Below are 26,958 nucleotides of genomic sequence, written 5' to 3' on the forward strand. Positions count from 1 at the left end.
CCCTCACCGCCCTTCTCCCCGCCTCTGGCTCGGCCCCGCCCCCTCCCGCCCTCCAGCCCACCCTCCGGTCCAGCCCGCGCCGCCGGCACCTGTTTCCGGGCGGGCCTCCAGAGGCCGGCGCACAAGATGGCGGCTCTGGCGGCCTAAAGAAGGCGGCCGCGGCTCAGCCGTGGGCTCTAACGCGGGGCTGGGGGCCGGAGACAGACTTCGCCCAGGTGACGGGTAGTAGGGGCGGCGCCGCTTGGCCTCGTGGGGTGTAAGACCCACTTGCTGTTGCCCCCGGACCTTGCCGCCACACCAGCCCTGTCCTGGGGCGGAACCGAAGGAAGGTCGGGCCCTGCTGCCCCGCCCCGTCCTTCCTCCTTCCCGGGCGGTCACTGTGCGTGGCTCACTTTTAGAGTTTACTTCAACCACGTGGAGCTTCCATGGCGGCCTCTCAGGTCCTGGGGGAGAAGATTAACATCCTGTCGGGAGAGACTGTCAAAGCTGGGGACAGGGACCCGCTGGGGAACGACTGTCCCGAGCAAGATAGGCTCCCCCAGCGCTCCTGGAGGCAGAAGTGTGCCTCCTACGTGTTGGCCCTGAGGCCCTGGAGCTTCAGTGCCTCACTCACACCGGTGGCCCTGGGCAGTGCCCTTGCCTACAGATCCCACGGTGTCCTGGATCCCAGGCTCTTGGTGGGTTGTGCCGTGGCTGTCCTGGCTGTGCACGGGGCCGGTAATTTGGTCAACACTTACTATGACTTTTCCAAGGGCATTGACCACAAAAAGAGTGATGACAGGACACTTGTGGACCGAATCTTGGAGCCGCAGGATGTCGTCCGGTTCGGAGTCTTCCTCTACACGTTGGGCTGCGTCTGTGCCGCTTGCCTCTACTACCTGTCCCCTCTGAAACTGGAGCACTTGGCTCTTATCTACTTTGGAGGCCTGTCTGGCTCCTTTCTCTACACAGGAGGTAAGATTTGGCCTGTCCTGTGTGCTGCAGGTCTTAGTCGCGTCCACTGGAAACCGCTGCTTTGTAAAGGAGTTATAGGGATGTCAAAGGTGGCTTTCTAATTTAAGCCGCTTTAATTGAAGTCTATAATTGTGGGTGATGTGAATTTTTTGAAACAGTGATTTGAGAAGATCCTGGTTTGACTTACGGACGTAGGGCATGACTGAAAATTTTATATGGACATTTATTTTTATTTATTTTTTATGTATTCATTTTTGAGACGGAGTCTCGCTCTGTCGCCCAGGCTGGAGTGCAGTGGTGCGATCTCGGCCCACTGCAGCCTCTGCCTCCCGTGTTCAAGCGATTCTCCTGCCTCAGCCTCCCGAGTAGCTGGGACTACAGGTGCACGCCACCACGCCTGGCTGATTTTTGTATTTTTATTAGAGACGGGGTGTCACCATGTTGGCCAGGATGGTCTCGATTTCCTGACCTCGTGATCCACCCGCCTCAGCCTCCCAAAGTTCTAAGATTACAGGCGTGAGCCACCGCGCCCTGTCAGGACATTTTTTAATTTTTTTTATTTTTTTTGAGACAGAGTCTCGCTCTGTTGCCCAGGCAAGGGTGCAGTGGCACCATCTCGGCTTACTGCAACCTCTGTCTCCCGGCTTCAAGCGATTCTTCTGCCTCAGCTCCCCGAGTAGCTGGGACTACAGGCATGTGCCACCACGCCTGGCTAATTTTTGTATTTTTAGTAGAGACAAGGTTTCACCATGTTGGCCAGGCTGGTCTTGAACTCCTGACCTCATGACCTGCCTGTCTTGCCCTCCCAAAGTGCTGGGATTACAGGCGTGAGCCACCATGCCCGGCCTATATGGACATTTTTTCTGTCTCATTTTTTTTTTTAATCACTCATACTTTATAATGCCACAGTTTCAAATATTAGAATTAAATCTGAAGAGTTCAAAATGATATAGATAATTACTTCTAGCTAGTTTGCTAGGTGACTTCTTGCAAGAGGCTGATTAAGGTAGTGATGGGCAGGTGGGTAAGCCCTATTTATTGAGCACCTATTATGTGCCAGGCACTGTTCTGTGTGAACACAGCAGTCACAGATCCCTGCCCTTGTGAAACTTACGTATTATCATGAAAAGAGACAGAAAGTAAAAATAGAAAATTATAGTTAGGGTGACCAATATCCTGGTTTGCTCAGGACTAAGGTGACAGGACTAAGTCGGATGTGCGACTTCTGGAGCTAAAACCAGAAAAGTTCCTGGTAAGTCAGGTTGAATTGATCACCCTGATTATAGTATATGAAAGATGATAAGTGCTATGGGAAAAAAAAGTAGAGCAAAGAATGGGACACAGATTACTATTTTAAGTAGTTTGATCAGGGTAGGCTTCATCAAAAAGGTAACATTTGGCTGAGTGCAGTGGCTCATGTCTGTAATCCCAGCCCTTTGGGAGGCTGAAGCGAGAGGATCGCTTGAGGCCAGGAGTTAAACACCAGCCTGGGCAACATAGACCCCTGTCTGTATAAAATATAAAATAAAAAATATTAGCTGGGCATGGTGGTGCTTGCCTGTGGTCCCAGCTACTTTGGAGGCTGAGGCGGGAGAATTGCTTGAGCCCAGGGGTCAAGGCTGCAGTGAGTCCTGATCACACCACTGCACTCCAGCCTGGGCGACAGAGTGAGACCATGCCTCAGAAAGGTAGTATTTGAGTTGAGTTACATTGAAGGAGGTAAGAGGTGAGGGAGTTGGCCAAGCAGATATCTGAGAGAGGAGCATTTCAGGAAAAGCAACAGCAAGTGCCATAGGCCTTCAGGCAGGAATGTGTCCAAAGAGCTTACAGAGCAGCAAGAAGTCCAGTGTGTGAATGAAGGAGAGAGTAAAGAGAGGTAAAGTAAGAGAAGTACGTTTGGGGAGGGTAAGGAGGCACACACACGGATTATATAGACCTTGTAGGCCACTGGTCTTGGCTCTGGAATGGAGGAGCCACTGCAGGACTTTGAGCAAGGGAGTGATGTAATATAATGTTTTAAAAGAATTGCTCTGGGTAAGGTATTGAGAATGGATCAAGGGGAGTGGGGCAAGGGTAGAGGCAGGAAGACCAAGTAGGAAGCTCTTGAATAATCCAGGCAAGCGATGTTTGGTGGCTTGTATCTAGCGGGTGGTAGTGGAAGAGGTAAGTAGCCAGATTCTAAATATGCTTTGAAGGTAGACAGGGTTTGCTGATGGATTGGATGTGAGGTAAAGAGAAACAGAGGAATTAAGCATAACTCAAAGGTTTTTTTTTTTCTTGGACACATTCCACATTTTATTTACATTTTCAGACTAACTTTGGGCTGGGTGCTGTGCCTCATGCCTGTAATCTCAGCACTTCGGGAGGCCAAGGCAAGTGGATCACTTGAGATCAGGAGTTCCAGACCAGCCTGGCCAACATGGTGAAACCTTGTCTGTACTAAAAATACAAAAATTAGCCAGGCGTGGTGGCATGTGCCTGTAGTCCTAGCTACTCGGGAGGCTGAGGCAGGAGGATTGCTTGAGCCCAGTAGGCAGAGGTTGCAGTGAGCTGAGATCATGCCACTGCATTCCAGCCTGGGCAACAGAGAGAGGCTCCATCTCAAAAAAAAAAAAAAAAGACCAACTTTAGTTTCAAAATTATATCTCCATATATGTATCCCTTTTTTGTTGATGTCACTTAACCTTAAGTGCATAGTTTGTTAAAAAAAAAAAACTGTAAGCAAATATTTACCATGTCTGTTACGTGTAACACACATGAACAGCTTTTAACAGAAATTCATCAACTCCCCCCCAACATTTTTTATTATAAGATAGGTATCAAAACAATCCTGAACATATTTTTCATACTACTAGTAGTCAGCACCCACACCACTTCAAAAATTAACACATTTGTGCTGGATGTGGTAGTTTTTACCCATAATCCCAACACTTTGGGAGGCTGAGGCAGGCAGATCACCTGAGTTCAGGAGTTCGAGACCAGCCTGGCCAGCATGGTGAAACCCCATCTCTACTAAAAATACAAAAATAAGCTGGGCATGGTGGTGCATGCCTGTAGTCCCAGCTACTTGGGAGGCTGAGGTAGGAGAATCGCTTGAACCTGGGAGGTTGTAGTGAGCCAAGATCTCATCACTGCATTCCAGCCTGGGCAACAGAACAAGACTCCATCTCAAAAAAATAAAAAAAATTAAAAAAATCAAACACATTTGTGACAGTGTTCATTGTACCTGCTACTTTTTTTTTTTTTTTTAATTTAACGGAGTCTTGCTCTGTCGCCTAGGCTGGGGTACAGTGGTGCGATCTTGGCTTACCACAATCTCCGCCTCCCAGGTTCAAGTATAATCCCAGTAGCTGGGATTACAGGTGCCCGCCTGGCTAATTTTTGTATTTTTAGTAGAGACGGGGTTTCGCCATGTTGGCCAGGCTGGTCTCTCTAACTCCTCACCTCAAGTGATCAACCCTCCTTGGCCTCCTAAAGTGCTGGGATTACAGGCGTGAGCCACTATGCCTGGCCAATACCTGCTACTTTTTAAACAATTTCAACTGCAGCTCTCTTTCACTAAGCAAGATGGATAAAGCATGCCATTTCTGTTTTCTTTTTTCTTGAGACAGAATTTTGCTCTTGTTGCCCAGGCTGGAGTACAATGGCACGATCTCGGCTCACCACAACCTCCACCTCCGGGGTTCAAGCAGTTCTGCCTCCGCCTCCCAAGTAGCTGGGATTACAGGCATGGGCCACCACGCCCTGCTAATTTTGTATTTTTAGTAGAGACAGGGTTTCTCCATGTTGGTCAGGCTGGTCTCAAACTCCTGACCTCAGGTGATCTGCCCACCTTGGCCTCCCAAAGTGCTGGCATTAAAGGTGTGAGCCACCTCTCCTGGCCTCTGTTTTCTTTTTCCTTTCCTTTTTTGTTTGAGATGGGGGTCTTACTCTGTCACTCAGGCTAGAGTGCAGTGGTGCGATCTCAGCTCACTGCAACTTCTGCCTCCCGGGATCAAGCGATCATCCTACCTCAGTCTCCTAAGTAGCTGGGACTACAGGCGCGTGCTACCACGCCTGGTTAATTTTTGGATTTTTTGTAGGGACGGACTTTCACTATGTTGGCCAGGCTGGTCTTGAACTCCTGGCCTCAAGTGATCTGCTCGCCTGAGCCTCCCAAAGTGCTGGGATTACAGACATGAGCCACTGTGCCCAGCCCTGTTTTCTTTATTGAGATTTTTAGTCTTTAGAAACACACATGCTTCCACTGCCATCTGACACTTCTTACCACGCTTTCATCTTGTAAACCTGAATTATATTTCGAGTACTCCAAGTTTATGTTTAAATGACAGTACCTTAACAAGAGAAAAAAATTGGGTTGCATTTTTCCTGTTACCTGAAAACATAATGGGTGTACATATATTAAATATATTCTTACAAATGTCCAGGTCATGTTTACCAGCCGGAGTTCTTTTATTTAACGTGTGGGTATTTTGCATTGTGATATTTAATCAAGACATTAACACGAGTAGAAGGTTGTTGATATAAGACAAGTTTGAGATCCACTAAAATTAATTGTTGTATGTTTGTCCTTCCAGTGGCTGTGGAAGCTTCATATTTTCTTTGGACATCATTAGACGTCTTAGCTCCTGAAGTACAACTTTAATGCTATATGAATTTTGTCATTTTGCTAACACTGGTGTGCTGCGGTCATCCACCATCCCACTGGAGTTATTTATTCCATTCATATTAATTCTTGTTACAAATCTAACTGATGGGGGAGCTTCTGGGTATTTGGGTCCACTTTCTATTTTCAGGCTATATATTCTTTTTTTTTATTTTTGAGACAGAGGCTCGCGCTGTGGCCCACACGGGAGCGCAGTGGCGTGATCTCGGCTCACTGCAACCTCTGCTTCCTAGGTTCATGTGATTCTCCTGCCTCAGCTTCCCGAGTAGCTGGGATTACAGGTGCACACCACCACACCCAGCTAATTTTTTGTATTTTTAGTAGAGATGAGGTTTCACTATGTTGGGCAGACTAGTCTCAAACTCCTGACCTCGTGATCTGCCCTCCTTGGCCTCCCAAAGTTCTGGGATTATAGGTGTGAACTGCCATGCCCGGCCTATATTCTCTTTTCATAATTTGTCCTTGGTGGCCCAATAATCATGCCTGTCCACCTTGTAAATGTCATATCTTCATCATCTTTAAGGCCCCAGTTAATCATACCATTGCCTATCAATAGCTGCATAAGCATAACTCAAAGGTTTTGACCTGAGAACTGGAAGATACCATCTGGAGTGATGTCATCATGTGAGAAGGGCAAGGCTGGGGATAGAACAAGTTTTGGGGGAAAAGCAAGCAATTGACTTCGTGGTTTTTTGTTTTGTTTTTTGTTTGTTTTGAGACAGAGTCTCACTCCGTCTCCCAGGCTGGAGTGCAGTGGCATGATCTCGGCTCACTGCAGCCTCTGCCTCCCGGGTTCAAGTGATTCTCAGCCTCCCAAGTAGCTGGGATTACAGGCGTCTGCCACCATGCCTGGCTAATTTTGTATTTTTAGCAGAGACGGTGTTTCACCATGTTGTCCAGACTGGTCTCAAACTCCTGACCTCAGGTGATCCACCCACCTTGGCCTACCAAAGTGCTGGGATTACAGGCATGAGCCACTGCGCCTGGCCAACTTTGGACATCTTAATGTCTATTAAATCTCCTAACAAAGATGTCAAATGGGTAGTTCAAGTTCAGAGAAGCCTGGGCTAGAGATTACATATCTGGGAGTCATTGGTCTATAGATAAAGTTGTAGGACTGGGTGAGGTCATCAAGGGGGAGGGAGTGTTGGTAGAAAAGTCAGTCCTGGTCTGAGCCCTGGGACACTCCCACATTAGAGGTGGGGGAAGAAAAGGCACAGGTAAAGGGGATGTGAGCAAGCATCCAGAGGAGTAAGAGGAAAATCAAAAGGCTGTGGTGGCCTGGCAGCTAATTATAAAAAGTTCAGTGAAGGAAATCAATGAGGTGGTGTAATAGAAAGTACAAGGTGGTGGTGAAGGGAAGAGGCTGTCTTTGTGAAAGTGACGTTCAAACTAGGACTTGAAGACGGAAGGATAAGGAGCTGGCCACGGGGTGGAATTGGAGTCTGATTGTGATGCTGAGTCCTCCAGGGCTGAAGGACCACTAAGTGCAAATGTGGTGGGTGAGAGAGAGTGTGACATTGGCTAGGATCTACTGAAAGGTCTGTGTGAGCCAGAGGGGGCATGAGACACAGTTGGTGAGTTAGGCAGGGTCTCTGTCATGGCGATCTTAACCAGTCCTACTCCCCAACCTCCAGGGCTCAGTCCTTGGGCCTCTTTTCTCTATCTCCATGTACTCCCTTGGTGATGTAGCTCATGGCTTCAGATGCCATCTGTTAAGCTAGTGACTCTTAAACTCCAGACTCATATCCAACTTCTTGCTCAGCAACTTCTCCTAGAACTGTCTCATAAACATCTCAAGCTTAACATGTCTGAGACCAAATTCTGATCTTCTCCCCAAGGAAACCTGCTTCGCCCACAGCTTTTTCCCCATTTTGCTCAATGGCAGCTTCATCCTAGTTCTTCAGGCCAAAAGCTGTGGGCATCGTCCTTGACTCCCACGTCTCACATCCAGTTCATCAGCAAATTCTGTTGACTCTCCTTTCAAAATGCATGTAGGATCTGACCACTTCTTACCGTGTCCAGCCACCACTGTGATCATCTGTCCCTGGATTTTTGCGGCAGGCTCCCAACTGGTCTCTTTACCTCTGTTCTGGTCCCATTCAGGCTGTTCCCACTCAGCCACCAGAGTAATTCTGTTAAAATATAGGGCAGCCCTGTCAGTCCTGCTTAGAACTCTTCAGTGGCTCCCATCTTGCTCAGAGTAAAGGCCAGGGTCTTTACAGTGACTCCCTAGGGCCCTACATTCTTTGCCCACCTTTTGCCCTCCCCCCAGTTCTCTGACCCACCCTCCTCCTTTCTTCCTGCTCATCCTGGGCCAGCCACACTGCCCTTTCTAGTCCAGGAGCATGCACAACCCCTCCTGCCCCTCCCTCAGGTCCTTTGTAGATGCAGCTTCCTCTGTTTGAAATGCTTTTCCTGCTTCTAACCATGTGGTTCACTTTCTCACTTCCTTCACCTATTTGCCCAAATGTCAGCTGCTCAGTGAGGCCTTGCTTTCTACCTTGCTTAAAATTACACACCCACTCCGTGCCCCCACCTGATACTTCCCCTGCTGCTCTTCTCTGCATTAGTTTTCCTCATAGCACATGTTACCTTCTAATGTGCCATATAAAGTACTTAATTGGTTAATTATCTTCCCCCTTCGACTGCGAGCTCCCTCCCTGCAGTCAGGGATTTCTGTCTCTGGTATTAGCTGAACCCCTAGCACCCAGAGCACTGCCTGGCATGTAATATTACTTAGTAAATATCCAGTGAACAAATGGGAAGGCATTGAAATATACTGAGCAGAGTAGTGACATAATCTGGTTTAAGATTTTTTAAACATTGTCTTTTATTGACATATAATTGACACACAGTGAAATGCACAGGTTTTTAGTGTTGCAGCTTGATGAATTTTGATAAATGTATACAGTTGCATAACCCACACCCCGTCATCATCCAGAACACTTCCATCACCCCCAAAAGCTTCCCAGTGCTTCTTGCCTGTCAATCCCACACTCCCTGCCCCCATCCAGAGACAGGAAAAGAACCACTGTTCTGATTCCTCTCACAGAGATTAGTTTTGCCTGTCATATAAATGGAACCTTTCACTATGAACTATGTATGTATGTATGTATGTGTATTTATTTCAGTCTGAGCTCTCGTCTGGCTTCTTTTGCTCAGCGTGATGTTTTTGAGATTCATTGTTTTATTGCGTGTATCAGTAGTTCCTTTTTTTGCTGACTAGCATTCCATTGTAACATACCACAACTTCTTTTTATCCATTCTCCTTTTCAGGGACATTTGGATTGCTTCCATATTTTGGCTATTACGTCTGAACATTCATGTTCAAGTCTTTTTGTGGATATTTGTTTTCATTTTTCTTGGGTAAATGCCCAGGAGTAGAATTGCTGGGTCACAGGGCAGATGATGTTTAATTTTATGAGAAACTGCCAAACTGTTTTCTGAAGTGGTTGTACTTCTTTACACTCCCCCCAGCAAGTGTTCCAGTTGCTCTGCGTCTTGCCAACTTTTTGACTTAAGTCTTAACAGATTCATTCTGGCTGCCGTGTGGAGAACCGGCCCAGTATTTCACTGTGTAAGCTCATTCAGAAAATGGGGTTGGGAGAGGAGGAATGCCTAAAAGGAAATTCCCAGATGGGCCACGTCTCTGAATCAGGTAGAGCACATGAAGCCTTGGGCCATGTATCAAATGCTAGGAAACAGCTTTCTCCCCAAGGGCTCTACTGTTTTCTTGTGTCAGATAACCAGATCTTTTTCCTCCCCAGAGTGGGTTGCTCTTGGTTTTGGGGTGGGGACAGAGATCTCTGCTCAACCTTGCTTACATCACTTTTTTTTTTTTTTTTTTTCAAAAGACAGAGTTTAGCTCTTGTTGACCAGGCTGGAGTACAATGGTGCGACCTCTGCTCACTGCAACCTCTGCCTCCTGGTTCAAGCGATTCTCCTGCCTCAGCCTCCCGAGTAGCTGGGATTACAGGCGTGCACCACCATGCCCGGCTAATTTTTTTTTGTATTTTTAGTAGAGATGGGGTTTCTCCGTGTTGGTCAGGCTGGTCTTGACTTCCTGACCTCAGTTGATCCACCCGCTGTGGCCTCCCAAAGTGCTGGAATTACAGCGTGAGCCACTGTGCCTGGCCTTTTTTTTTCTTGAGACGGAGTTTTGCTCTTGTTGCCCAGGCTGGAGTGCAATGGCACGATCTCGGCTCACCACATCCTCTGCCTCCAGGGTTCAAGCGGTTCTTCTGCCTCAGCCTCCCGAGTAGCTGGGATTACAGACATGCGCCACTACACCCGGCTAATTTTTTGTATTTTTAGTGGAGATGGGGTTTCTCCATGTTGGTCAGGCTGGTCTCGAACCCCTGACCTCAGGTGATCCACCTGCTTCAGCCTCCCAAAGTGCTGGGATTACAGGCGTGAGCCACCATACCTGGCCGCTTACATTGCTTTTTGCCGAGTGATCTAAGGAGGTGTTCTTGGAGACTCCAGCCAAAGGTCAAGGCTGTAGTGCTGTTGCATTTTCTTTCACAGCCAGACCAGTGGCGTCACTTGGGGAGCTGAGAAAACAAGCACAGCAAGAGTGGGCAGCTGTAGAGGAACTGGCTAGGTCTGTGCTGGGAGTATTCCTGCCCAGCATCATCTTTGCGTGGGTGTAGTCCCTTAAATGTGTGAGATATTGGAAGAGACGTCAATTTACTAATTCTGAACTGGAGCTCGTGCTCTGCTTGAGGGAACTTCCTCCTGGAGGGCATGTCCTCATACAACCAAATTATTTATGAAAACATGGCTTGGTATAAAAATTATCCAAATAGAAGGAAAAAAAATATGGCTTGAGGGTGCAGAATTAGCTTGCTGAATGTTGAAGAGTGTCAGTGGCCATGCCTTAATGCCCTTCCCTGGAGATACTTTGTTCTGAAGAACTAAGGGTGTGTATTTAGCACCAAGGGACCCCAGCTGCTGATGTGAAGGTGAACTTGGACTGGATCTTGTTCCTTAGCTCCTGTCATTTTATTTCATTTTGATTCCTGTGGCTAGTGGGAACTTCTGTCATTTTAGACTGGTTAAAATGCCTAACCAGAGCTTTATTTTCTGATCTTGAGTCCACATCTTGTAGCTTGGTTAGAACTGGAGTTTGCTAAGCTTCTGTAGCAATAATTGCATGGGTCACCTCCCTCAGTGGGCAGCTCCACTCATTCCATACTGCTTTACCTGTTTCAGTCTGAGTGGGAGATCTTTCCTGACCTTGATCCCAAATTCCAGGTGCTTGTTACTGTAGCTCTGTCTTCAGTTCAGCCCTTGTGCCAAGTATTGGGGAGTGAGCTGTGACCAAGCCAGACACATGTCCTGCCCTCATGGAACTTACAGTTTAGTGAGAAAGGTGGAGATTAATTAGAAGCATGATGAAGTTTATGAACATGGCAGGCATATTGCCATGGGAGCATATTGCAAGGGGATCAAATGTGGCTTAGGGGTGAGAGGAGGTGGTCCTGGGGAATGGTCTTTAAAGTCTTAAAGGGTGAGTAGAGTTAGCCAGGCCAAGGGAGGGGTGTCTGAAGGCTCTGACGGATTGGAAGAAGTCTGTGTGAAGAGGGGAGGAGAGCTCAAGGTGAGGCAGGAGAGGTAGGGCTGGGCCACAGGTGAGCCAGGTTAAAGATCTGGGACTTTTATCCCCAGGATGAGTGGTTGATAAGGGTTTAAGTGTATGTTGGGGGAGGGGGTGGTCAGATTCCTTTATTTATTTATTTACTAATTTTTTTGAGACAGAGTCTTGCTCTGTCTGCCAGGCTGGAGTGCAGTAGCATGATCTTGGCTTACTGCAACCTCTGCCTCCAAGGCTCAAGCATTTTCCCTGCCTCAGCCTCCCGAGTAGCTGGGATTACAGGCGTGTGCCACACGCTTGGCTAATTTTTGTATTTTTAGTAGAGATGGGGTTTCACCCTGTTGGCCAGGCTGATCTGGAAGTCCTGACCTCAGGTAATCTGCCCGCCTTGGCCTCCCAGAGTGCTGGGATTACAGGTGTGAGCCACTGTGCCCACCCAGCCAGATTCCTATTTTTAAAGGTTCACTCTAACGCCTTTTTAGAGATTAGATTAGGGATGGAGAGGGGGAGGGGTTATGAGAGGGGAAGCTGATAGACCAGTTTGGAGGATGTTGCAGTATCCCAGGCATAAGATGACCATGAGGTAGATTTGGTAAGGGGGATGGAGGGTGGCCCCGGGGATGGAGAGAATGGATAGTTTTGAAGGAAGTGGGTTAGACAGGCTTTGAAGTAGATGAGCAGGACAGAAACAGGAGGTAGGGGTGGTTTAGTTTCAATCTCATAGGAGACAGAGGAGGAAAGCAGCATTATAACTCTCCTGTCCTCGCTGTTTTGCTTATCGCAGGGGTGCAGGTTTAAGGACCCCGAAATTTCACTGAAATTCACTGGCCGTTTTTAAAACCAGAAGATGCCTTGAGATTGTAGGGGAAGGAGGTGGAAAAGTAGAAGGCCAGAGTGGCTATTCTGTGAGGGATTGATCTCACGGGGTCTTGCAGGGGTTGGTGAAGGGTGAAAGATAGCAAAGAACTGGATTCTAAGACCTTTAGATCCTTCCTGGGCTCTCCCATTGAACTAAGAGTATAGTGGGTGCCTAGTGTGCTATGTTGCAGAGCTCTGTTGGGGGACAGTAGGAAGGGAAACTTGGGTATGAACCTGGGAAGAGGGACTTGAGGCCTCACTGGGCATTCTCTCTGCACCTGTGGCATTGGAGAAGAAATCAGAATTTGCTCTGTGGGGTTAAGGGATGAAATGAGTGCCCACCTGCACAGTCTAAGGATTTACCATTTTCAGCCGGAAGTGGCCTGCCTCTTCACTGGTGAACAGTCCCTAAATTTCCAGCCTTGGTCTCACACCAACTCTCTGGATTTTCTGGCCGCAGGAATTGGATTCAAGTACGTGGCTCTGGGAGACCTCATCATCCTCATCACTTTTGGCCCGCTGGCTGTGATGTTCGCCTACGCCATCCAGGTGGGGTCCCTGGCCATCTTCCCACTGGTCTATGCCATCCCCCTCGCCCTCAGCACCGAGGCCATTCTCCATTCCAACAACACCAGGGACATGGAGTCCGACCGGGAGGCTGGTATCGTCACGCTGGCCATCCTCATCGGCCCCACGTTCTCCTACATTCTCTACAACACACTGCTCTTCCTGCCCTACCTGGTCTTCAGCATCCTGGCCACACACTGCACCATCAGCCTGGCACTCCCCCTGCTTACCATTCCCATGGCCTTCTCCCTTGAGAGACAGTTTCGAAGCCAGGCCTTCAACAAACTGCCCCAGAGGACTGCCAAGCTCAACCTCCTGCTGGGACTTTTCTATGTCTTTGGCATCATTCTGGCACCAGCAGGCAGTCTGCCCAAAATTTAAGGGGACAAGTAGCTCCCCCCACGACATGTCTCCCTTTCTTAGAATATATTAAAGTCAGAGTCTCTGAGGAAGGAATGTGATTTGGCAGTCAGGGTACTAAGCATGGGTGGGAACTCCTGCCTTATAAAAATTGTTTTTGTGTTCTTAAAGATAATATGTTGTTTTTCTGTTTTTTGTTTTTTCCATTTTATGGGGAATTTAAAAACCATTCTTGTATCAGAAGGTGAATTAGGCGCATGGTCTTTGTTTTATTAATAATTTCCACTAGAGGGTGTTCTCAGGTCACTTTGCAGTGAAGTGGACTTAGTTCCTCCTTGTTCTGTACAAAATGTCTCCAGACTTTGTAAAGGAGCTGCCCAGTTTGGCCTCCTGTCCCGAAAAGACCCTAATAACTAGGCAGAGTGTTGTCCTGCTTTCTTCGTCTCGTAGGATGTGCTATGATTGGTGCCAGGCCTCACTAACACAGGGGCTACCTGTCTCTTATTCTCAGCACCTGTGTCCTGAGATACGCTGCCTGAGACAGAGAGAGTCCCTCATTAACAGCCTGTGTGGCTGTCAGCTTTTTGCCTAAATTGTGATTCAGATGCTTTTGTTCTCTCTCCTTTCACTTATTGCCACAGTTGAGGAAAAGTGTCAGATTACCCTGCAGCAAGACAAGCCAAGGACTGGGAGGGAAAAAAAAACCACTCTGGAGGCAACTGAGAAAATCACTGCTTTTGGATAGGAATCAGTAGGGTGGCTGTTTTCCCTTTGTTGAATCTACTAGAGTGACAGGAAGGACTCCCAGCCCTTTCAGTAACTATCAGGAGCCCTGAAACGGTAGAGGCACTGCCATCCTTGTGGGATACTCAAAGCCCACAGGGCTTTTCCCTCCCTATTGCATCTTCTGATGCTCCCCACACCTACCCTCCACCTCTCCACCTCTGTGGTGTTCCCATTTGTGTGTTTCCCATCTGTGGAGCCAGACTGAGCAATAGCTTAGCAGCGAGTCAGGGACAGCTGCCACTTTCCACAGAGCCACAGGATGGGCAGAGCAGGGACCCAGGGAATGAATAGCCAGTGGACAAACAGTCTTGAGCTCTGTTCAGCCAGAGTGATGGGCCCTGCCAGTTAAGGGGCTGTGTCTTCATCCTTGAAGACAGATGTGCAATATTGACCCTGCCTCTCCCCAGGGCTTTGTGGAAAGATAGTTGAGGGCTTTAGTGAGATCACACTCAGAGTGGGGCAATTCCAGCATTTATCCTGGCTGCGTTTCATTGCATTGTCTGTGAAGTATAATTTCTGGGCCAGAATTGCTCAGTTGCATTTGATCCAGGACTATAGATTGGAAATGGGTCATCATTGTTTTCTGTTGTGATTATAGCCATTCTAGTAGGCGTTTAAGGTCATGGCCTGCAGAAAATGATGTAAGAACTAGTTCTTAATCTTTCAGATCAAGCTAATGATGATATGGAACCTTGAGTTCGAATTGATTGGTTTACTTGGAAAAAAACATGTTTGAAAATTGCAAAAGTTCCGCCGGGCGCGGTGGCTCATGCCTGTAATCCCAGCACTTTGGGAGGCCGAGACGGGCGGATCACGAGGTCAGGAGATCGAGACCATCTTGGCTAACACGGTGAAACCCCGTTTCTACTAAAAATACAAAAAATTAGCCAGGCGTGTTGGCGGGCGCCTGTAGTCCCAGCTACCTGGGCGGCTGAGGCAGGAGCATGGCGTGAACCCAGGAGGCGGAGCTTGCAGTGAGCTGAGATCATGCCACTGCACTCCAACCTGGGGGACACAGCAAGACTCCGTCTCAAAAAAAAAAAAAGAAAAAGAAAATTGCAAAAGTTCCTCTAAAGTTAAATCAAAGGTGGTTTGTCTAGCAGAGAGCCAGAATCTTCTAATAGTGGGCAGAGCCCAGAGACAAGGGGAAGAAAGATGACCTTCTCCCCAGTCCTTCCCAGCACCATTTTTGTTTCACACCAGGCTTGTGGCATTTTGGTGCTCACAGGGGTTTTGCCTTCTGACCTCTCCTTGGAGTAGGCCATTCTCATGCAGGGCTCACCCTGAGGCAGGAGGACCAAGGGCTCCCTGCGTCCACGGACCACGTATGCCTTGGTGGTCACTCCCATCGGGGCTATCAGTTCTGCACTGTGCCCTGGTGCGGATTTTAATGCATATTTTTATATATAAATGTTCCCAAAGGCCAAATTTGTTGCCAGGTTTTATACGCAGGTCACCATAATTTGTATTATGTTCCCTGAGTCAATGAAGGTTTTCTTTAGACTTCTTAATTAAAAAGAGAAGAAAGAAAATGTTCACCAATGGTCTGGCTTCTGGTTTTTGCTTTCCTCATACTTACTGTCTGATTGTGAACTCTGATTTGTAAATCTCAGGGAGACCAAGGCAGTGACATTGGACATTCAGGCTGTGCAGAGGGGCACCTGGTCTTTGGTGATGAGTTTGGGTAGGGTTTGACCAGATTCGACAGGCCTTTAGAAAAGGCAGCAGGGACTGGGCATGGTGGCTCACGCTTGTAATCACAGTAATTTGTGAGGCCAAGGTGAGAGGATTGCTTGAGCCCAGGAGTTTGAGACCAGCCTAAGTAACGTAGTAAGACCCCATCTCTACAAAAAAAATTTTAAAAAGTTAGCTGGGCGTGGTGGTGCATGCCTGTAGTCTCAGCTACTCAGGAGGCTGAGGTGGAAGGATCGCTTGAACCTAGCAGGTCGAGGCTGCAGTGAGGTATGATCACGCCACTGCACATCCGCCTGGGCGACAGAGCGAGACACTGTCTCAAAAAAAAAAACAAAACAAAAAACGTTGAGGGCTGCATGTAGCTACAGTGGATTTGCCAAGAGCCAGTCAGCAGTCAGGCCAGATTAACCTCGTTTCATTTTTCTTTTTCTTGATAGGGTCACTGTGCTGCTAGATGGAGAACATGAGGTAGATTGAGTACATGTGGGTTTCAGCTAGGCATTGGACAATATATCCTATGAACAAGGCAGAGAGACGTGGGATGGATAACAGTGGAGTTAGATAAATTCCTGAGAGACTGAGCAGGCGGTGGGAGAGAGCTAACTGATCAGCATGTCAGTGGCAGCTGGGAAGGAGCCCTTAGTAGCAGTTGGAGCCCTGTCCTCTGCCCTTTGCTCCGCTGGATTCAACACCTGTTATTAATGACGCGGATGAGGCAGCCAAAATGAAAGGTTTCATGAACCTTGGAGGAAGAGCTTACAAAATGACAATTAGGAGCCTCATAAATCAAAAGGCTGCTTTGATGGGTCAAAAGAAAAATGTAGTGTGAATAAATACAAAGCAATACACTAAGGTCCCAAAATCAACAGCATAAACATCAGAGAGGGGGAGAGCCATGATGTGACAGCCATGGAGATAGGGGGGTATGAGTTTTCTCAGTGACTGGAATCTGACATCACTTGTCTTTATTTATTTATTTATTATTTTTTTTGAGACTATGTCTCAGTGTCGCCTGGGCTAGAATGGAGTGGCGTGATCTCGGCTCACTGCAACCTCTGCCTCCCGGATTCAAAGCCATTCTCCTGCCTCAGCCTCCCCAGTAGCTGGGATTACAGGCACGTACCACCACACCTAGCTAATTTTTGTATATATATGTTTTATATATATCTCACTCTGTCGCACGGGCTAGAGTGCAGTGGCGCAATCTCGGCTCACTGCAACCTCTGCTTCCTGGGTTCAAGCGATTCTCCCACCTTAGCCTCCTGAGTAGCTGGCATTACAGGCACCCGCCACTATGCCCAGCTAATTTTTTGTATTTTTAGTAGAGAAGGGGTTTCACCATGTTGGCCAGGCTGGTCTCAAACTCCTGACCTTGAGATTCACCCGCCTTGGCCTCCCAAAGTGCTGGGATTACAGGTGTGAGCCACCGCACCTGGCATAATTTTTGTATTTTTAGTAGAGACGGGGTTTTACCATGTTGGCCAGGCTGGTCTCGAAATCCTGACCTCAGGCTATCTACCCATCTGGGCCTCCCAAAGTGCTGAGATTACAGGCGTGAGCCCCCGTGCCTGGCTGCCTTTATTTCTTGGAGTCAGATTTATTCTGCTCCCCAGGCAGGTGGCTGAAAATTCAATGCCAGCTACCTCTTGAGCACCCTCCCAAATGTCTGGGATCACCCAGAACTCCTGGCCTCTGTGGGGCCAGAGCCAGGGATTTTTGCTTACCATCTGTAAGGTCACCTCTCTGCTACTGGATGCTGGGGTTTGGCCCTGGAATCTGCCCTTGTCTTGGACACTGCTCCTCTAGAAGGGTTCATAAAGCCCCTTCCTGGTGACAAGTGCCAGTGGGGCACAGATCCTGCTACTCCAGTCACATTTCTGCCCAGTCTTGGAGCACTACCACTCTACCTATGATAATGCTCCATCCACCTCCCCTACTCAAAGCATTTCCCTTCTTCTCTACGCTTTGCAGGACCTTTGTGCTGAATCCCACTCAGGGCACCTTTGGAAGCTTGGTGCTGACTTCTGGAGTCGGGTGGGAAAAGATATGAATATATCCTATGTTGTCTTACTAACGCTTCCGTTACTCCTGTATTAAAACCACCAGGCCAGGTGTGGTGGCTTACGCCTGTAATCCCAGCACTTTGGGAGACCGAGATGGGTGGATCACTTGAGGTCAGGAATTCAAGACCAGCCTGGCCAACATGGTGAAACCCTGTCTTTACAAAGAAATACAAAAATTAGCACCTGTAATCCCAGCTACTTGGGAGGCTGAGGTGGCAGAATCTCTTGAACCCAGGAAGCGGAGGTTGCAGTGAGCCGAGATCACGCCACTGCACTCCAGCCTGGACAACAGAGCAAGACTGTGTCTCCTAAATAAACAAATAAATAAAATAACCAACACCTGAGCCTTTGACCTGGGCCAAAGCTTAGTCTGAGTCAGTAATGAGCTCCAACTTCCATGCAGATTAATATGATCTGAGCTAGAATTTAATATGATCTGAGCTAGAATTAACAGGAGAATTAGCGTCCAGAATAAGGAAGGCAGAAATTCTGCCCATCCCTGTCATTCTTCTCATGCTGGGCTGGGGCCAGTCCTGGGCACTTTCTTGCCTTCTTTCTTTTCTCTAGATATTAATAGAATCAGTGTGGTGAGAGATCAAGAACATGCTGTGGATATAATATACTTGGATTTCAGCAAGGCATTTGACAACATGCTATGAAATATGGAATGGGGCCAATCACGGTGGCTCATGCCTGTTATCCCAGCACTTTGGGAGGTCAAGGTGGGTGGATCACTTGAGTTCAGGAGTTCTAGGCCAGCCTGGCCAATATGGCAAAACCCTGTCTCTACAAAAATACAAAAATTAGCTGGGCGTGGTGGTGCACAACTGTAATCCCAGCGACTCGGGAGGCTGAGGCAGGAGAACTACCTGAACCCGGGAGGCAGAGATTGCAGTCAGCTAAGATCGTGCCACTGCACTCCAGCCTGGGTGACAGAGCGAGACTTCATCTCAAAAAAAAAAAAAAAAAAAGAAATATGGAATGGATGAAAAGACAATTACAGGAGCTTGCTTTCTATATGCATGTGTGTGCACGCGTGTGTGTTTGCATTGGTAACGGCTGCAGTAGAGATTTCCATTTCTCAGTGTAAGAACCACACTTTGAAGATGTTATCAACAAAGTGGATCTTGTCCTGAATGCGGTTGGCAGATGGGTGGGGGCACATAAAGCCATGTCAGCCTGGAAAGGAGAGTCACAAGAAGGCTGTCTTCGGGAAGACGGGTTGGACTTTTTTTTTTAAAACTTTTTTTTGCGTGTGGCTTCAAAGGGTAAAACTAGGACTAATGGGTAGAAGTTATATGTCCCCAAGTTGAAGCTCTTAGCTCAGGAAGGTTTCTTTCATTCTTTCTTTTTTCTTTTTTTTTTTGAGACGGAGTTTCGCTCTTGTCGCCCAGGCTGGAGTGCAATGGTGCAATCTCAGCTCGCTGCAACCTCTGCCTCCAGGGTTCAAGCGATTCTCCTGCCTCAGCCTCCTGAGTAGCTGGGATTAACAGGTGTGTGCCACCATGTCCAGCTAATTTTTGTGTTTTTAGTATAGATGGGGTTTCACCATGTTGGCCAGGCTGGTTTTGAACTCCTGACCTCAGGTGATCCACCTGCCTCGGCCTCCCAAAGTACTGGGATTACAGGCTTGAGCCACCACACCTGGCCAGATCAGGAAGGTTTCTTAGCCATTAGAGGAATCAGCGAGGGGGATGTTCAGAATGTCTCAGTTGGGGGTGAGTTCCTTGTGACTAGAGGCATTCAAGCGAAAAGATGATTCCTCGTCAGGAACATGGGTGTGAAGAGTCGCATCAGAGAGGCGTTGGATGAGAAGACCTCTAAGGGTCTTCCAATCCTGTGATTCAGTTGTTCTGTTATTACGGGATAGTCTTTCAGACCTGCCCCACGGGTTGGGAGGACAGAGTACAAGAGCCGTGTTGACATTTCTTCTTGATGTCAGACTGTTGACTGTCTGGCCATCTTAACAGGAACAGCTGTGATTGATATTCTTTTTTTAAAAGATTTTATGTATACACACACACACACACACACACACACACACACACACACACACACTCACAGAGTTGATTTCACCTCGAAAGCCCTTGAAGTGAGAGGGATGACAGCTCCTCTCTGAGCCCTGCGGACCACTCTGCTGCTAATGGACTGTCAGCCTCTTTCATTATGGGCTCCAGACTGTGCAGGCTGGTGTAAAAGGAATGCCTCTGGCAAGAACCTGGCACTTGGGTTCCAGCCAGTTGACATTTGTGACCTGCCCTTCTTCAAACTGGGACAGCCCTCCCACTGTGAGTGACTAAGCTAGGATGGCAAATGGTGGTATAAACCAAGTTGGGTTCCTGCCTGAGGAGGGGGCAAAGGCTGAGTCTGGGCTCATCAGGAGGCTTGCAAACGGCTTCCTGGGGTCAGGGAAAGGCTGTAATTGCAAGGCACAGACTCACTTCAGAAGATGCTGGAGCTCTGGGAGGAACAGTGAGGGCTTTGATCACATGCTCCCAACCAGGCTGAGTGGGGTATCACAAGTTGGTCTGGGCGCTTCTATGATGTTAAGGGATCCCAAGGGGCAGGGCTCTGTGTGGTGTGATTCAAGGGGTCCTCCAAATTCCGCACTCCCACGGTCCTGCCATATCCTGGCCCCTGTCTCCCCCAGCTTGGCTTAGAATTGCCTCCCATTAGGATCACAAATGGGTTTAACAGGGAAGACAAAAGCATAGCATGTGTTACTCACCTATTATTTTGCCAACATGTTTATTGTCAATTTCTCCCAGTAAGTGGTAGGACTAGAGTATAAGGACCATGTTTTCTTTTCCAGCCCATCTCAGCACTAGCACAGTGCATGGTGCAACAGAGCAGGCAGTCAGTAACTGGTTGTTGAATGACTGAGTTACATGGGAAGGGCTGGGCCCTCCAGGGCTGACTGACAGGTGTGAGAGTTTGGACCACTGCATCACATCAGCTGTCAGTAAGGACAGGTGAGTTCCACTTGGGGTTGGGAGTAGAGGAGAACCATGGCAGTAACTTATTATTATTATTATTTTGAGATGGAGTTTTGCTCTTGTCACCCAGGCTGGAGTGCAATGGCACGATCTCGGCTCGCTGCAACCTCTGCCTCCTGAGTTCAAGCGATTCTCCTGCCTCAGCCTCCCAAGCAGCTGGGATTACAGGCACCCACCACCATGCCCAGCTAATTTTTGTATTTGTAGTAGAAACGGGATTTCACCATGTTGGCCAGGCTGGTTTCGAACTGATCTCAGGTGATCCACCTGCCTCAGCCTCCCAAAGTGCTTGGATTACAGGCATGAGCCACTGTGCCTGGCCCCATGGCAGTACTCTTAAGAGCTTTTAAGATCCAGCTCATATTCCTGGCACGTAGAAGTCTCTAAATAAATAAACGTTGGATGACTGGCCGAGGGAATGGCAGTAATAAAGCTGTCATTTGTTGAATGCTCACTATGGACCAGGCACTGTTCTGATGCTTAAATACATTCTTTTAGTGCTCATAACAACCCCACGAATTGGATATTAAGGTCTCTTTTTCATAAGAGAGGAAACTGAGGTTCAGGGAGATTATTAAACTTGTCTAGGGTCATCTGGCTAGTAAGTGATAGAACCATGATTCAAATCTTGCTCTAATTCAGTGCAAGTTCTTTTATTATTATTATTTTTAATTAAAAAATTGAGACAGGGTCTCATTATGTTGGCCAGGCTGGTCTCAAACTCCTGGCCTCAAGCAGTCTTACCTTGGCCTCCCAAAGCGTTGGGACTACAGGTGTGAGCCACCACACCCAGCCTTCACTACAAACTGCCCCTCATCTCTCTTGCCCTGCAGTTCCTTGCTTGTAAGGGACTCAATCCATTGGTCTGCCCTTAGCCGCTCCCAAGTGTGTGAGTGTTGGGGCCAGCTATAGGCCTACAGAGGTGGCCCATGTGCCAGTGCCACAGAGGTGGTTCCCATCAGGGTGGGATGGCTGCTTCCTGGCTGGTGGCATTCCTACCAACACCCCCAGGGGCCAGCTCTGTGGGGATAGTAACTAAGCTTGTTGGTCTAACCTACTCTGGCTGGCTGGGCGAAAGTTACAAGTCAAAGTCTGCCCATCCCCAGATAATGGAGAGTGGCTCCTGCCTACCCACGATGATGGAGGCGAAGGTTCAGTCTCAGGTTAAATTTATGCTCCTGTCCCCTCATCTGTCTGTCCTCATTCGTCTCGTCTCTTCCAGTCCTCATCTAGCCACTGAAGCAGAGTGCCCACATCAGGAGCAGCCAGTGCTCAAGCTCCCAGAAACTGCCTAGTGACCTGCCTTCTAGACCTGCCTCCTGAGAATGGGGCTGGCCACCTTCGAGGAGAGGGAAGTGAGCCCCTTCCTGCCTCGGGGTGGGCAGCATCTGGAGCTGACAATTGTATGCATGTTCAGGACACAGGATACTCAACTCTTCGGGTTCAGTGTGCTGTGTGGAGGGAGAGGAAGTTGACACACGTGAACCATAGAATAAACAACGACCACAGAACATCAAGGTAGAGATGGGGCTGCTGGGTATCAGGAAGGCTTCCAGGAAGAGGTGACAATGAGCGGCGATCAAGGTTTCTAGGAAGAGGTGGCCATAAGAGGTGACTGTTCCATGGAAACCGAGGTGCTGATGGACAGCTCAATTCCCCCAGCTGGAGAAAGCCCCCCTGTTGCTGCCTGAGAGAGTAAGACTCGAAGTTTTCCTTAATCAGCCTCTTTTGGCTGTGCAGTTAGACAACTGGAGCATTGAGGCAGGTGTGCCAAGGGCACTCTGACCACTGCCAAGGTCAAAGCCTTCTGCAGAATGAAAACTCCGACACTTCCTTGCTGAGAAACAAACAAGAGAGAATGGCGGGGCATTTAATCATCCACAGCTGCCAATACCTAATCAAGATGAATGGCCTGGAGAGACAAGGCCAGGGAAAGCATCCCGTGAAGCAGGAGCGCTGAGCCCAAGTCTCCTGCGAGTCAGGGGAGCCCCTCAGCCCTGGGCCACATTGAGGCCAAGGGAATACCAGGTGGGAGGCCCTCAGATTCAGGGGAAGTGCTGAGGGGGTCAGAGGTCACCATGGTCACCAATGAGGGCCTTCCAGCTGACACTTGCCTTGGCCAAAGACCTTTACTGAGAGCCTGCTCTGTCCCAGGAGGCAAGATAAACGAGGCACACCCCTGCCCTTTGAGGACACACAGTGAACTAATAGCAAAAGCTACATGCATACATTATCCTGCCACCTCAAGTGTCAACATAGACACTTGTCCCTAGAGATCCTTAAAGCCCCTCTGAAGGACAGGCCACTCACAGCCATGTGTGAGACATAGAGGCATAAAGGCTGTGGGGAAATGAGGGCAGAAGAGATGAACTTCTCCATGCCCCATTGTTCCAGACTGCGATCAATTCACTATCTATGACTAGATCTCCTCTGATGCCATCTGCAGGTGGCTGCAAGACCAGTCAATTTATTGAACAAGTATTATGTTACAGGCACTTGCTAAGCTCTGGGAGGTATCATGGTAAATGAGACCTTATCCCTGTCCTCAGGAAACTTACACTCTCCAGAGGACAGACAGACAAACAGGCACACCTTATATCACTCCTGGAGCTTGACTGGTGAAGTGGAAAGAGTTTGGGCTTTCGAGTCTGGCAGCACTGGGTGGGTAGAAGTCCAGGCTCGATCACTCACCCCCGGGATACCCTCAGACAAGCTACATAACCTCTTTGAGCTTCCGGTGCCTCCTCTGCAAAGGAGGATGATAGGATTTGCCCTGTAGGGTAATTTTGGGTTTAAATGAGGTAGTGCTCACAGAGTACTTAGCATGTGCCTGGTGAGTAGTAGGCACTTCATAAAGTGAGTTCCCCCTGTCCCCCCCTTTGTTTTGAGACAGGATCTCACTCTGTAGCCCAGGGTGGAGTGCAGTAGCACAATCATGGCTTACTGCAGCCTCAACCTCCCTGGGCTCAGGTGATCTTCCCACCTCAGCCTCCAGAGTAGCTTGGACTACAGGCTTGCACCACCATGCCCAGCTAATTTTTGTATTTTTTATAGAGACAAGATTTCACCATGTTGCCCAGGCTGGTCTCCAGCTCTTAGGCTAAAGCAATCCGCCCGCCTCAGCCTCCCAAAGTGCTGGGATTACAAGCCTGAGCCACTGCTTCCAGCCCCCTTTCCTTTCTTATGGATGACTATTTTAGAATGTTGTTTTTTGTGTAATCTTAGACTTTCCTACCAAGGCAGAGGGCCCATGGCTGAGGGTCCATGTTCTTCCCAGTACTCAGCACAGTGCCTGGTACATTCATTCATTCATTCAACAAACATGTATTGAGCACCTGATAAGTACCAGGAACTGTATTAAAACTAAACATAGAAAATGAACAAGACCAGATCTCTATGCTCCCAGAGCTTATATGATAGTAAGGGAGATAGAAAAGAAACAACTATTCATTGTGAAACTCTCTGCTGTGGTTTGAATGTTGTATCCTCCCAGATTCATGTTGAATCCTAATGTTGAATCCTATGTTGAAGCCTAATCCCCAACATGATTGTATTAGGAGGTGGCAACTTTGGGAGGTGATTAGGTCACGAGAGTAGAGTCCTCATGGGTAGAGTATTAGTGCCCTGATCAAAGAGACCCCAGGGAGCTGCCTTGCTCCTTCCTCCATGGGAGGACACAGCTGGAAGGCACTATCTATGAACCAGAAAGTGGCCTTCACCAAACCAAATCTGCCTTGGTTTTGGACTTCTCAGCCCCCAGACCTGTGAGACATTTCTGTTGTGTATAAGCCATCTAGTTTAATGGTATTTTGCTATAGTAGCCTGAATGGCACTCTGTGTATGGGGGTGGGGGTGTCCATTTGGTGATTCCGAGGGGCTCTGCCCTGGCACCAGGATAAGTTCCATGCAGAAACCAAAGGATGACCCATCTGCAGCCCTTCTGTCAGGAGAGCCAAGCCTGGCTGTGCTGAGATCAGAATCCTGGTGGGGTGACTATGAAAAAGTTGGGGTCTTGGCCTTGGGGTCAAAGATTGTCAAGGTGACTTCTCATTCGAATGCTTCACAGCCCTGGAGGCTTGACAGTTGAGAATGCGCTGAAGAAGTCCTGGATGGAGAGACAGGTGGTCTTACATGTGGCTGTGAGTGGCCTGTCCTTCAGAGAGGCTTTAGGAATCTCTAGGTACAAGGGAAAGATAACATCCCCTTGGGCTGCAGTCCAGGTTCATTCAACAAGGGAAGAAAACTGGAAAACATCTGATGTCTGTTTTACCAGAGTTGTTACTATTACTTTTACTATTATTGTTTTTTGTTTTTTTGTTTTTTTTTTGAGACGAAGTTTTGCTCTTGTTGCCCAGGCTGAAGTGCAGTGGCACGATCTCGGCTCACTGCCACCTCCATCTTCTGGGTTCAAGCGATTATCCTGCCTCAGCCTCCCGAATAGCTGGGATTACAGCATGCACCACCATGCCCAGCTAATTTTGTATTTTTAGTAGAGAAGGGTTTCACCATGTTGGTCAGGCTGGTCTCAAACTCCTGACCTCAAGTGATCCACCCACTCTGGCCTCCCAAAGTGTTGGGATTACAGGCATGAGCCATTGCTCCCCACCAGAGTTGTTATTATATTTTAAAAAATTGGGCCAGACACAGTGGCTTATGCCTGTAATCCCAGCACTTTGGGAGACCGAGGCAGGTGAATCACCTGAGGTCAAGTGTTTGAGACCAGCCTGGCCAATGTGGCAAAAACCCATCTCTACTAAAAATACAAAAATTAGCCGGGCATGGTGGCACATATTGTAATCCCAGCTACTCCGGAGGCTGAGGCAGGAGAATCACTTAAACCTGGGAGGTGGAGGTTGCAGTGAGCTGAGATTGTGCCATTGCACTCCAGCCTGGGTGACAGAATGAGACCCTGTCTCCAAAAATAAATAAATAAATAAATAAATAAATAAATAAATAAAAGTTTCCCATGTGCATGTGTGCACATATGTGTGTACACTTATGGACATTTGGGGACACCTCCTGCACCCCGCAGTGGTGCAGTTATTATCCTGGGTATTCAGTAGGTGCTGAACGTGAAGGGAACCCAATGCAGTGAGCGACACCTGGTAAAGCCATCTCAATGTCTAGACAAGCAGTCTCCATGCAGCTCCAAGGAGGATAAGGGGAAACCACAGAGGGCTGTGAGCAGAGGGTTGCTCAGAGCCCCTCCTGACGGAGGCGAGGAGGAGGTGGAGCCATTCGTTATCCTGCCAGCTTGGCACAGAGGCTGGGTGCAGGGGCTGGGTGGCTGTGCTGAGAAGAGCCATTCCATTTCCAAGAAGGAACAGGGAGGGGATGGTGAGGAGCGAAGATAACCAAGTCAGTCAAGCAGGGCAGAGCACGGTGTAATCCATGCCCTAGGCCATCACAGTGGCTGCAGCCAATCTCACTGCATGAGAGGTGGGAGAAGATGGGCTTCCCCAGGAGAGGCCCTGCCCTGGAAACCCCACTGCCTGCCCTGGGTCATCCTTGATACTCATTCCCTTGTTTCTCTCAGTGGCGGGCATGACAGCAACATGTCAAGGCCGCCTAACCACAGTCACAGTGAGAGCCACCAGACGCTGGATCCGGGCAGCAACTTGGGGTTCACTGAAGCTTTCTCCGTGCTTTTCTCACGCTGGCCTCCCTATGGCCCTGAGAGGTGCATGCTCGGCTTGTTTCATGGGCTGAGTGGTTCAGTGACTTGCTCGGGATCACAACCACCGCACAGGAGCACCACACATGGCCTGGACTGGTTCTCTTCCAACTCTAAAAGCAGCACTCATTTGGTTAACAGTCTTTTTCATTTTCAACACTTCTTTCTTTTGAAGGGGGGAGCAAAGCGTGATCGGTTGCCTTTTATAATTCTCGTTTTCAATTTCAATCTCTTTTAAAATGTTGAAAGACTCACAGCTGCCTCTTTTGTTATTGTCTTCATCTCCCACCCTCTTTCCGGCCTCTCCTCCTTGCCTTTCCTTCCCTTAACCCTTCCCATGGCTCCTCTGAGCTGCCCAGGCATGTGGCCGGCTTGTCATGCTGGTGGCCTTGGATGTTGGAGAAGAGGGGGAAGAGGTAGGATTGAGGGGCTCCATCAGAGACAGGGTCTCAGGGGTCTTCACAGTTTGATGGATTTTTTTTTTTTTTTTTGAGACAGAGTCTCTCTGTTGCCCAAGCTGGAGTGCAGTGGCACGATCTCAGCTCACTGCAACCTCTGCCTCCCAGGTTTAAGTGATTCTCCTGCCTCAGCCTCCCGAGTAGCTGGGACTACAGGTGCGTGCCACCATGCCCAGCTAATTTTTATATTTTTAGTAGAGACAGGGTTTCACCATGTTGGCCAGGCTGGTCTCAAACTCCTGGCCTCAGGTGATCCACCCATCTTGGCCTTCCAAAGTACTG

The 26,958-nt window shown here is 48.5% G+C and overlaps 1 protein-coding gene and 1 pseudogene across 4 annotated transcripts, besides 4 other annotated features; one reads left to right on the forward strand and one right to left on the reverse strand.

Annotated features, from left to right (window-relative positions):
• Positions 1-50: a silencer, noted in NCBI's record as "silent region_263". NCBI's record gives its function as "represses an Ori minimal core promoter by ATAC-STARR-seq in GM12878 lymphoblastoid cells {active_cell/tissue: GM12878}" and the evidence as "EXISTENCE:reporter gene assay evidence [ECO:0000049][PMID:35858748]".
• Positions 51-220: an enhancer, noted in NCBI's record as "active region_166". NCBI's record gives its function as "activates an Ori minimal core promoter by ATAC-STARR-seq in GM12878 lymphoblastoid cells {active_cell/tissue: GM12878}" and the evidence as "EXISTENCE:reporter gene assay evidence [ECO:0000049][PMID:35858748]".
• Positions 92-26,468, forward strand: UBIAD1 (UbiA prenyltransferase domain containing 1). Of its 4 annotated transcripts, none has more exons than NM_001330349.2 (3): positions 92-954; positions 12,538-12,626; positions 21,767-26,468. In NM_001330349.2, exons 1-3 carry the CDS (start codon positions 426-428, stop codon positions 21,782-21,784), a joined length of 636 nt encoding a protein of 211 aa, NP_001317278.1. In that variant the 5' UTR covers positions 92-425; the 3' UTR covers positions 21,785-26,468. The 4 variants fall into 4 exon arrangements, with proteins under 4 accessions (NP_001317278.1, XP_047274683.1, NP_001317279.1 ...); XM_047418727.1 differs by lacking the exon at positions 21,767-26,468 and adding an exon at positions 20,361-20,512; NM_001330350.2 differs by lacking the exon at positions 12,538-12,626.
• Positions 311-360: an enhancer, noted in NCBI's record as "active region_167". NCBI's record gives its function as "activates an Ori minimal core promoter by ATAC-STARR-seq in GM12878 lymphoblastoid cells {active_cell/tissue: GM12878}" and the evidence as "EXISTENCE:reporter gene assay evidence [ECO:0000049][PMID:35858748]".
• Positions 5,308-6,169, reverse strand: UBE2V2P3 (ubiquitin conjugating enzyme E2 V2 pseudogene 3; annotated as a pseudogene).
• Positions 16,053-16,235: a silencer, noted in NCBI's record as "fragment chr1:11349216-11349398 (GRCh37/hg19 assembly coordinates)". NCBI's record gives its function as "represses an EF-1alpha promoter that drives an FKBP-Casp9 reporter gene in an ReSE screen in K562 erythroleukemia cells {active_cell/tissue: K562}" and the evidence as "EXISTENCE:reporter gene assay evidence [ECO:0000049][PMID:32094911]".

Source organism: Homo sapiens, chromosome 1, assembly GCF_000001405.40.
Source record: "Homo sapiens chromosome 1, GRCh38.p14 Primary Assembly".
Classification (NCBI taxonomy): Eukaryota; Metazoa; Chordata; class Mammalia; order Primates; family Hominidae; genus Homo; species Homo sapiens.